This window comes from Homo sapiens, chromosome 2 (genome assembly GCF_000001405.40).
Source record: "Homo sapiens chromosome 2, GRCh38.p14 Primary Assembly".
NCBI lineage: Eukaryota > Metazoa > Chordata > Mammalia > Primates > Hominidae > Homo > Homo sapiens.
In genome coordinates, this window is record NC_000002.12 from 132,466,514 (window position 1) to 132,478,626 (window position 12,113).

General features: G+C 44.9%; 1 protein-coding gene across 1 annotated transcript in view, besides 1 other annotated feature; it reads left to right on the forward strand.

The window, feature by feature from the left end:
• GPR39 (G protein-coupled receptor 39) overlaps positions 1-12,113 on the forward strand; it is a 229,778-nt gene that overhangs the window by 49,709 nt on the left and 167,956 nt on the right. The gene's annotated exons all lie outside the window — the stretch shown is intronic.
• Positions 1,892-2,392: an enhancer, noted in NCBI's record as "H3K27ac hESC enhancer chr2:133225978-133226478 (GRCh37/hg19 assembly coordinates)". NCBI's record gives its function as "activates a minimal SCP1, AML or CMV promoter by ChIP-STARR-seq in primed H9 embryonic stem cells {active_cell/tissue: H9 hESC(primed)}" and the evidence as "EXISTENCE:reporter gene assay evidence [ECO:0000049][PMID:30033119]".

Below are 12,113 nucleotides of genomic sequence, written 5' to 3' on the forward strand. Positions count from 1 at the left end.
TTCTGTGGTGTCTGTTGAGAAAATCTCTGGCAAGTCAGGCTTCTGGGCTGCTCCTCTCCTGCAGGGTAAGTACAAAGAGGGCAGCATAACCCCCAGGCTAACAGGCCTGGACCCTTTTGAGGAAACTAAACACATAGGCAGAGTGAGCTGAGTGAGAACTCCTACTGTGTGCAAATTAGTTGCTGGGTGTCCTCTGGTCTTTTCTTTAAGTCTATAACATTTTAGATGGAGAATGACAGGTAGAAAATTTCAGGGCTGTTTTTTTTATTGCAAATGTGTAGAGGACCAAGAGTGGCATCTGTGCCCAGAGAGCACTTGGCCTCTCAACAACTTGAGCTAGTACATTCTGACTTGCATTATGATTACTCTTCAGTATGCAGGAGCTCTCCCTCCCACACTAGAGTGTGAACTGATTTCTCCTGCGTGACAAGGTCACCCCATAACTTCATGTTTTATATTTTTTTAACATTTTTAAAGTACCTGCCAAAAAATGGTGCTTATATGTGTTTGCTAATTGACAGTAATACCCTAGTAGGAGTTGTAGGCAGTGAAGAAATATTAAGCAACAGCCAATATTATAAGAAATTTTCTTGGACCCCTTTTGGAGTCAAAGAGAACCATTACAATGTCTTAGTCTTATGGGAGGGCCAAGAGGAGTGTGTCAGTCTACAGGCAGGTGTTGAGCATAGATTCATGGACCTAGCAGAGCACTGGCTCCTGTGGGGCAATCAAAAGCTGCAGACAAGCACTGTGGTTGCAGCAGAAGGCCATTATCCTAAATGGACTAATGCAAGAACAGAAAACCAAATACTGCATGTTCTCGCTTATAAGTGAGAACTAAACTTTGGGTACTCATGGACGTAAAGATGGCAACAGCAGAAACTGAGGACTACTAGAGAGGGAGGGTCAGAGCAGGGAAAGGGTTGAAAAAGTAACTATTGGGTACTATGCTCAGTATCTGAATGATGAGATCATTCATACCCCAAACCTCAGTATCACACAGTATAGCCAGGAAACAAACTTGTGCATGTACCCTCTGAATCTAAAATAAAAGTTGAAAAAAGAAAAGTATTTTTGAATGAATACATCAATGAATGAAAATGAAAAAATGCTGCAGACACAATCTCTCCATAGTCAAGTTGGTGAGCTACAGTTACTGCTCATGAAACTTTAATGAATAATAAAGATGATGTATACTTTTACCCTAAGCTGTATGGTACTAAAGTCAGTGAAGGCAGGGAACATAGTGGCCCAGAACAGTTAGGAAGGTTTTCTGGAGGAAGCCAGAATGAAACTGGGATACAAGGGTCAGTTGGTATCTATATTTATTTACTCTTCATACCCCTTTAGAGGGAGTCTGCTTCCACTTTTCAGAAGCCTCAGAGAATTTTCCAGGAGGAATTAGATCATGTACCCAGTAGCCCTGAGCTAATAAAATCTGGTTGTTAAATTCCACCCTTTTCTCATTCTCCCTCAAGGGTCTTGTAATATAATTTGCATTTCTCAAATCTCAGCTCCTGGTACCATTTTCTTAGAAGTCCTGCCTCCCAGCACCTCCCAACACTCTGCCTGATACTTGGCATGATGGGAAATTCTTTTTTTTTCTGCTAATATTTGTGCAGGTCCCATGAAAATAAACAATCTCCAAAATTGAACTTGACCCAACCAACATATTTCAAGTACCTGTGGTTTCACTATGTGTATATAAATGCAGATGCAACAGTGAACAGTTTCCTGTCCTCAAAAAGAGTTTACCTTCTAGACCAGGAAAAGAAACAACTATACTGCAGATAGAATGTGAGAGAAGCTACAACAAAGAAGGATGAGATTAACTGCAATAGGGGAAGCTTTTGTGGAGGGGATAGGACTGGGGCTAGTCCATAATGAGCACCTGAAATTTACCTATATGGAAGTGGCAGGGTGGGAGAGAGGGACATGCTAGTCAGAGGGTACATTGTGGACAGGCACACAGAGGTGACCAGTGCAGAAATGGTCCAGGTTTGGCTGAGGCTAGGGATGTGAATGAGTGTCATGGCAGTGAAGACTGGAATGATGAATTGAGTTTGGAACGTGAGACTGAGAGGTTGGGCCCTATACTTTGGGTCAACCCAACCTTTGCCCAAAGGGTTTTAAACAGAAAACAGAGGTGAATTTTAGGCTGCTGCTCTGGCCATAGCTTACGTGTGCAGTGGAAGCAGGAGGTGGTTACAGATGGAAGGTGGGGCAGGGCAGGTCTCTGTCTGGCAGTCACTGGTGCAGGTCGTTATGAAGGCTGAAAGTAGGGTAGTGGCGATGGGCCTGGAAAAAGGGGACAGATGAGAGAGAGGAGGCAGGGTGACCTTTGCTTGTCTTTCCTCCTCCCCAGGTGAGATACATTGTCACGTAGGCAGTCATTTCAGGATTGCAGGAAGCTAATGATTTTTCCCCACAATGTTGCTGGCTTCCAACCAGAGAATGTTGCCCTTGAGATTTGACAATGACTGTTGCCTCCTTGGCAGCGATTCTGAATCAAGGGCAGGAGTCAGCCTTGCTGGGAAGTTGTTCAGTTGATTCAAAGGGCTTGGGACATGTCTCTGAGACTGTAGGTGGCAATTCCTGCAAGTTGCTTCATTCCGTTGTGTCTTTCCCTTGGGTGGAGCCTCCTCTTGCCCTCTGAGTGGGGCCAGAGGCCCAGTTCCATCCCCCTGTAGGCATCAGAAAAGGGCTGCTTCCTGTGTTCAGTTTAGAGCTCTTTAAAGCCCCTGCTGACAGATCCTATTCAAGCTAAAATGAGTGGCTGGGGGCAACTCATACATAATTTCCTTCTATGTAGTGACTTCCTGCACCATGGGGTCTGCATGATTTCTGTTCATTTAATGAAAGGTTATATTGGCAAATTGTTATCCTTGGGAGTGTGGGTGTGCAGGGAGTGCTTTTGGAATACATTACAGGGTAATTCCCTTTGCCCTTTATTGCCTCTGCAGGCCATGTGTAATTGAATCGCAAATAACACACTTTAGAAACAGGCAGAGAGACTGAGGCCTGAGCGTCCTTTGGCTTTAATGAGACAGTGAGCGTGTGTGTGTAAACGACCCTCTGGTTATGCGGGCCAGGTGGAAGAGGTAGTCGTATAACTAATGGGAGTGATTTTTCTCCACCTGCCCCAGACAGTGCAATCAGCAGCCTTCACTCCCGCAGGGAGGGTCTCAATCCAGTGGCTGGCTCTGCCTTTGAAACATCCAGAGGGCCCATTACTGTTAATAGGAGCCTCTCCCGAGCACCTGCTAGAGACTACCTCACTTACATGCTGGCTGGTGGGGTTGAGGTGGCCCCATGCAACTTTCCCGTTCTCATCTCCCTCCCCAGAGGAGGCTGCTGTGCCCGAAGTTCTGTGCATGAGGAAAACACCAACAGGGGGAAACTGTTACGGCAAAGTTGCCCACTCTCAGAGGAGTTGGCAAAAGTCTGTGAAGTTCAGAGAATGCAAGGTCTTTAAGTGTGGGGAGGTGAAAGGGTGGGATGCAGCAGGGGATTAAAGGCAAGCAGTGATTACATGAGACGGTGTGATGTCTTAGGACACTCAGCACTGACCCCCAACTGGGCAAGAGCTGTGATCACAGGTGGATATGGCCACCTCTAGTCTAAGAAGTGTTTGTCCCTGAATTTGAGGGACTGGGTGTTAATACCTTTGTGCCCCATAACATCCTTCCAGTTAGTGGTGGCACCAGCATTTCTGCAGAGCAGAGGTGTGAGACTGCCATTTGTGAGGGATGGGAGTGCTATGGAGGGAGGAGATGAAGGTAGACAGGTGTTCATTTTCAGTAGGGTAGTTAGGGTGGGCCTCGATGAGGTGACATTGCAACAAGTCTTGAGGAGGTGAGGCAGTTAGTGATGAAGACGTCTGGGGAAAGACTGTTCCAGGCTGAGGGACCATGGTGGTGTTGGCACTTCCTAAAGCAGCTGTAGGCCTGGGTGATCCAGGACTACAAAATGAACGGGGCAAGTAGGGTGCCGAGAGGTGGGGTTGGAGATGGATTATAAAGTGCTCTGTTGGCCGCTGTAAGGATGCTGGCTTCTATTCTGAGTAAAGGGTGAGCCATTGTGGTTGTTGAGCTGTGGAGTGATATGAAACAGAAATGAAAATAGACGATCCAGTAAAATGAGGAAAATGTATAGATCCAGTTGTACAAAGGAAGCATTTGTTGGGGGGCAGGGAGAGGGGCTGTCTATCCCAGCCTGGGCAGGGGAGACAGGGAGGGCACGGAAAGGCTTCCTGGGTGGGCGGGGGAGGGTGTCAGCTGCATTTGTCCAGGGTCTTAAATGATGGGCCAGCCTGTGACCTCCCAACCCCCACCTGACACTGTTTCTGTAACCAAGGCAGCAAGGGACTAGTTTCTCTCCTGTGGATTCTTGGGCAATTTGTGTGGTCCTGTTTGCAACCTCTGTGTGTGGGAATCAATCTATGCCTCATCCTTTGGGCATAACCTTTGCTTGGAATCCACTTTCTATCCACTGACCCTTGGCAAATCAGTACCCATGTGGATATCTTGCCTAGCAGGATTTCCTTACATGCTAATGTGTTACTGAGCACTGCAATCCCAGGGCAGTGGGAGTGTGGGGCAAAGAAAGTGAGGCCAGGGAAGTAGGCAAAGTAGAAGCAAGGGGGTCTGTTGCAAGCTAGCCACAGCCTCACAAGAAAATATAGCCAGTTTTCTGGTCACATGAGATGTGACCAGGAAATGAGATGAGAATAGTCCATCCAGTTAGAGGAAGAGAGAACAATTTATTTGTTGGCACCTGCCTGTCTCCTCATACTCATTGATAAAGCTCTAGTCCATGAGGATATAGACCTGTTCTACTGGCATGAGTGCCTAAAGTGGCCACATGGTAGATAGAGCTTCAAGCTCAGTGGAAGCTTTACTGTATCCACTAGTCGGTGCAACCTCTCTAGGAACCTGGTAGAGTCAAAGTATGTGGGGTTAGGATGCACAGCCTCCACAAATATTTCATAGGGGTGGTGGTTAGAATGACCTCTCCTACTTCCATCACTTGGTTCCTGGGTCAGTTTATTGTAGCTGTTGGGAACACAGTGTCACATGTCAGCCACTGGTTTATCACCTACACCACATCTTGAAAGGTAGGGCCCAGCCCAGCAAGGAGTTTTTTTTTTTTTTTTTCTTCCCCATAACTCGTTGCCTTAACTTCACTTTCAATAGGCTGCTATGCCATTCTGTCAGTCAGATTGACTCTGGGGATGGCAAAGATTAGTTAGCCCCAGGTCATTGTCGTACTTCCTTTGCAATAAAATGGGTCGCTTGGTGTGAGACAATGTTTTCGGTTAACTTTCAGTAGATCAGGCATTTTATAAGCCTTTGCTCAGGATTTCCAACAAAAGCTCTGCAAGCCAGGCAGAATACCCAAGTCCGCAATGTGTATCAACTTCAGCAGGGATAGACCAATGTTCTTTCCCATGTGGAAGGGGCTCAATATAATCCACCTGCCACCAGGTTGGTCTTCTCAAGGAATGGTGCCATATTGAGGACTCAACATCAGTCTGTGCTGTTGACAAATTGGGCATTCAGCAATGATAACAGATAGATCAGCACTGGTGAGCAGGAGCCCATGATGTTTGGTCCATGCACAGCCTCCATTCCTGGGCAAGTAGTAGGGAGTGGAAGAGAGATGCCAGCTGACATTCATTAACATCATCTTGTCTAACTTGGCTCCTGAGAACTTTATCTGGAGTAGATTCTCTGCCATGGAAATTCATGTGAGATACAAAGATTTTCAAGCATTGTGAGCCCTTCTGTAGGTCCCTCCAGGCCTCCTTGCTGCTGGCCTTCCAGGTGTATTCCATCCAGCTCCTGACCTATCAGCAAATCCACTTGCCACTCCCAGAAGTTGATATCTGCACCACAGGCCATGTTTCCCTGAATACAAAGTGGATGACTGAGTGTCTGCCAGAAGCTTTGCTTCCTGGGAGGCCACTCTTGAGTGAGGCTATAGTTCAGCCACAGTCCATCTTCAATGCCAACATTTCCTGCAACTCACCTGTGAACCAGGCCCAGGTCCATTCTCCTCCATCCGTTGGTCATAGGGAATGGAAACCCACATATATGGAATGAAAAAAATGGTGTTGGTACTACAGAGGTAAGTGACATGGTAGTGACCTGACCATGAACTTACTTTTTCACGCAACTTATACTCTGCATCTGCTTGAGTCTAGTACCAAATATACCACTTTAATCATATAATGGATTGTGACTACACGCACTTGGCCTTATGACTTGGTGGATATAGTATTACTTAGCTTGTAATGGAGGTCATACAGTCTAGTGTTTCAAGGTCAAATGTTAGTTTCAGCTAGAACTCAGTAACACAAGGGAGCTATTTTTTCAAGTAGAGGACGTGGCCTTGATTAAGAACTCTCTAGGTCTGCCCTGAGAGTCTCATATTTGAGCTTGCCCAGCATCCTTATCCACCGTGAACCCCCCTGCACCACCAGATTTGCTGCAACATACAGGTCAAGTAGCTGGGCAGCTTGTGCCACTGCCTGAACCTGCTACAGAGTTCTCTGTTCCCCTGGTATCTTCCTGAATCACCGGGTAAATAAATTTGAGCAGTTTTCCAAAGTGTGGTAAACACTGCCTTAAAATTCAATGAATTTCAATGAGTGCTGTTCTTCTTTTGTAGTAGCAGGTGTTCTAGGAGCAAGGATTTCTCCTTTAGAGCAGTGTCCCAGCATGCTCCAAGTCACTGGAAGCTCTAAAAATGTCACTGATTTGGCAGGTCCTAAGTATTTGTGGCATTTATCTCCCACCTTCCACCATGTATGTGTTCTCTTAGTAAATTATCTAAGCCACTTCCTGCTCCCCCATGCAATTATTATAACATCAAGATAATGGACCCATGTGATGTTCTGCAGAATGTCAAGGCAATCAAGTTCCTTGAGGACTAGATTATGACAAGAAAATTAACATAGCCCTAAAGCTATTATGTTGAAGGTGTACTGTAGTCCTTGCCATGGAAAGACTACAGTACTTTGATGCCATCACTAATGGATATTGAAAAAAAAAGCATTTATCAACTCAGTAGCAATATATTCAGTACCAGAGTCCATGCTAATCTGCTTCAGGAAGTATGTTATTTTATCTAACTTATCAGTTAGCATTGCGACTACCACTTGGCTAATTGTACGGTAGCTTATGGCCATCTGCTATGCTCCATCTGGTTTCTGCAGAGGCCACAGATGAATTGAGAGACATGATGTAGACCACTATCTCTGCCTCTTTCAGATTTTTGGTTGTGGCACTAATCTCTTCAGTTGTTACAGGAATGCAGTATTGCATCCAATTTATCCAGGCAGAAAAGAGGGGTAGTTTCAGGGGGCTGCATTTAGCCTTTATTACCATAACGGCTCTTCCTCCACAGTCAGGGAAGAAACGTGAGGGTCTTGCTAGTTACTAAGTATCTCTATACCAACTACACACTTAGTGACTGGGAAATAATCCAGTGTGGGTCAGTGGACAGGCACATGTGACTCAGGCTAAAGCACTACGACATGACATCAGTGTGTCCTCACTTCAGTCAGAGGAGCATGGTGAGTTTTTGAGGTCCTTTGGTATTAGTGTCAGCTCAGACCCTCTATTTAACAGTTAATGAAATTTCTGGGTTTTCTCTTTTCTCAAAGGCGAAGTTACCCAGCAAATGTTTTCTTTGGGGTGATAATTAGAGGCATATTTTCTGCATATCTCTGCACTGGTGTTACACAATTCTTCCTCAAGGAAACCTAATCTTTTCTTCAGTCTGCTGTCTACTACCTCTCATGGCCTCTAGACCAATAACCAGTGCCAGGACTTAGCACAGCTTGAGTAGGGGTGCACAAGCCCTGTTCTAGGAAGTAATAGATGGTACCTGGAAGGGACTGTAGGACGTGGCTAATATATGCTTTGGATATGGAGCTTTGGGTCTGTGAGCTGACTTACGTCTGGAAACTGGGTGAGGGGACTGTGATTTTCTGCTGTGGAAACTGATGACAACCTTCAGCTCACCAGCTTGTGCATGCATGCGTGGAGTGTTTGTGTGTGTGTGTTTATTTTTGATTGTACAAATCAAGCAACACCCTAGTCAACTGCCCATCTATCTTGCCCCTTGAAACACCATCACCATAGATTTCTATTGATCGAGGCAGCCCAGTTGCTACTCCAGCCTTGCTGCACATTATGCTAACGATGTTAAGGGCTGCTTCCTGGCCTTTGCCATTTTGGGAACCCATTATTGCCTTTAGATTAAGGATCTCGGTTCCATGGCAGCATATTCATGGCAATTCCTGCCTGCAGTGGACAGCCGCCATAAAGAATCTCAATGATTCTTGTGCCCCCTTGATCAGTACATTTCTTATTGCCTTGTTGAAGGAAGTGCCCTTTGAGTCCTCTCAGAGAATTTATCATGTGATGGGGTCTCAGGTTTTACAGAGTAAATCCACTCTAACAGTTCCATCCCTCTGTGCCTTCTGACCCCTTCTTCAGAACTATGCTGAGGAAGTTTCAATATCTTCACCCAATTTACTGTAGGCCATCATTCTGCTCATGGTTCAAGGAGCCCTCCCAGTATGGTATCAGGACTGGTTCCAGGTATCCTTATCAGCTAATTGAATCCCAAGTCTCAGGTTAATGTTCTCATGTCAATCACCATCCCCATCTGTCCCTTTCCTTTGCTGAGTAGTCTCTTCACCCTCAAGAGTCACTCCTGCATGCTTGTTCATGAACACTGCTAGTATGTGTTAGCAAAGTTCTACAGTTCATCTAGTATATAGTCTACTACTTCATAGAATAGGGCCTGTATATCACTGTGCATGCATGCTGGCACTGGCTATTGGTCTGGAGGTCATGAGGGGTAGTTGGGGGCAGATCTTGGGAAGAATAAATACCATTCTGCCATGCACCTATTTCCAATAATATCAGTACGTGATCTTTCGACAAGTTGATTGAGGGAGGTGGGGGAACTGTTTTCCTCTGGCAATGGGGAGAAGCTTCTTTGGCTGGCCCAGAGGGTTCAAGATTCTCCAGCTTAACTACACGAATACCCCCACACCAGGTTTCGTAGTCCCACCCTTACTCGTTAGGGCTCTGATTGTGACATACGAGACAGGTCGAGGCTGCACATTTGACCTACTTTGAAAATTTACCACATGGAAAAGTCATGATCTGGGTCTGATTTTCAGTGCAGTTGGCCCTGAAGCTGCAGGAGACAAGAGTCTCTTTTTCTATGGATACAGAATCTTTGCACTTTTAGAATATGCCTGAAGCCAGCAATTAGCTGGCTTGGTTTCATTTTCTTTTTGCAAGACCTCAAATGCTTTCACAAATAGCCATTTCACACTCCCATCCTCATAGTTGTCATTATCTTCTGCCAATCAAATGATGCAGCCATTTGACCTTCCAGTGTCTTGCACTTTACCTGCACCTCATCTCAATCAACTGCAGGTGAAAGCTTGACTAATTGTGATGTCACCACATGCCACTTAGCAGCAGCAGAGGGATTCTTTTTTTTTTTCTCTTTTTAGACAAATGAGTATCAAGAACTGTGAAGAGTCTGAGATTACACTCTAGTTTCAAGCCAACACCTTACCTTTCCACATTCATGGATACTGAAGGAAGACAAAGTCCTTTAACTCGGGCCTAGTAGTGTCATGTCATTTATAAAAGACCAAAGGTGAATTGTATCCCAACAGTCAGTATTCCAACTCCAAAATCTTATACCGAGGATGTCCTGGTTCCAAAGTTTCTGGTTCGAAGTCCCTAGAAAACAAAACCTGAGGCAAAATGTATTTCTTCATGTATATTGAAAGATATATTCCCAGGCTGGGCACGGTGGCTCACGCCTGTAATCCCAGCACTTTGGGAGGCCGAGGTGGGTGGATTACTTGAGGTCAGGAGTTCAAGACCAGCCTGGGCAACATGGTGAAACCCTGTCTCCACTAAAAATACAAAAATTAGCTGGGCGTGGTGGTGGGTGCCTGTAATCCCAGCTACTCAGGAGGCTGAGGCAGGAGAATCACTTGAACCCGGGAGGTGGAGGTTGCAGTGAGCCGAGATCATGCCACTGCACTCCAGCCTGGGTAACAGAGCAAGACTCCATCTCAAAAAAAAAAAAAAAAAAAAAAAAAAAGATAGATATGTAAAGATATGTTCCCAGGGCACTGATAACATGGCGGGAAAAGGAAGTGAGGTAGGGATGGAGGAAAAGCATATGATGCTTTATCAAGCTGGCCACAGTATCACAGACAAAGACAAATGTAAAGGAGTCCATTTCTCGGCTCTGTAGGACAGGCTGTTATTCCTTAGAACAGTCATTCGTGGGAAGGAAGGGAAAGGTTGGCTCTGCCAATTCCTTCCCACAGAGGCACTCCTCTGTGTAGACACTCCATCCTACCCTTCCCAGTTGTTGCTGATGGCCTCTCCAGGCAGCCTCTGGGGAAGTGAGATTCAAGGCCCCACAGTATTTGCCTCTGGCTGTGGTGGGCTATGGTCCCCCTCTGCCTGCTCTTCTGCCTCTGACACTAACCATCCATGATTCTCGAGATGCTATCCCATCTGTTTTTACATGGACCCAGTGGGAATAATAATTGCTGCAGTGATTATTTTAAAAGAATGTTGTAAGAGAGTAAACATTTTGAAAAATTGTATGTGCTGTAGAAAAACTAGTTGCTATTTATCAGATTTCTCAAACTTGAGTCAGAAGAGGAAGAGGAGGCGCCTGAACAGGACTTTGAAGGACGAGTAGAAGATACATAGATGAGGACACAAGGAAGGGCTTCTCAGGTGGAGCATTCAGAGGCGTGGAGGACAGGGGTGGGAGACAGCATACAACAGGGCCAGCCTGAGCAACATAGTGATATCCCATCTCTACAAAAGAGGAAATATCAGCTGGGCATGGTAGCGCATGCCTGTGGTCCCAGCTACTCGGGAGGCTGAGGTGAGAGGCTCACGTGAGTCCATGAGGTCGAGGCTGCAGTGAGCTGTGAATGTGCCAATGCACTCCAGCCTGGGCCACAGAGCAAGACCTTGTCTAAAAAAAAAGAGCCAAGGCTCTGTCTCAATCAAAGAGCCAAATCCAGCCCGCCAACTCATTTTGTAATAAGTTATTGAAACATGGCCACATCCATTCACTTATGTGTCATTGTGGGCTGTTTTTCTGTAGTTTCAACAGAGACCATATGGCCTTTAAAACCTAAATTATTTACTCTGTGGCATGTTACAGACCCCTGATGCAAAAGGAAATATTAAGTATATTACAAAGTTGGTAATTAATGAATATAAATTGCCTTTCTCTTTTCATCTTCCTCCTTTGTCTCACAAAGAATTGATCACATAATGGCTACATAGTAAACACTGATTAGTGAACTTAGTCTTTGGAAATATATTTAATACCATTGCTTACTAAACAGAGTTAATCCTAGAAATTTACTAATTTAAAATCAATACCATAACCTACAAAGAATTTGAGGCATTTTATTCTATCCCCTTTACATGAATCATATTAATAATTGAGACACTGTCCCACACATAATCACCAACTATTTGAAATCTGGCTGTTCTAGAAAATCTGGAATTAATTGGGACTTGGCATTACAATGACTCTTTAAAAACCACAAACTGCTGAACACTGACTGCGTTTCCACAGGCAGCAAAGAAAAAGTCTGAAACATTTTCTAGATTCCTTGAGGGGAGGAGTTATGTCTTATGTGACTTGGCATAGAAGGGATTAATAAAGAATTGCTGAATAAATAAAGTGTCCAGAATAGTGCCGGGCACAGGATAGGTTCTTGGTAAATGTTTGTTGAATTATCTGGCAAAATAATCCATTGATTCAAATGAATGAGAATTTTCAGGCCACAGAACACAGATCATTGTTAGACCCAAGCTAATGATCTCCATAGGTTGCACACAAGTAATTTAAAATCTACATCTAATTTATTTGTCAGAATGTTGTATAACCATTGGTTGGCCCCAGATACTGGATGAGCTTCCCAATCAATACTACGTAACAAGAAAAGCTACCTGTCAAAGACAGAAAGCTCAGTCAGGAGGGACCTCATGGCTGTGCTGCTTTAAGGCTAATTAACTGGTGTC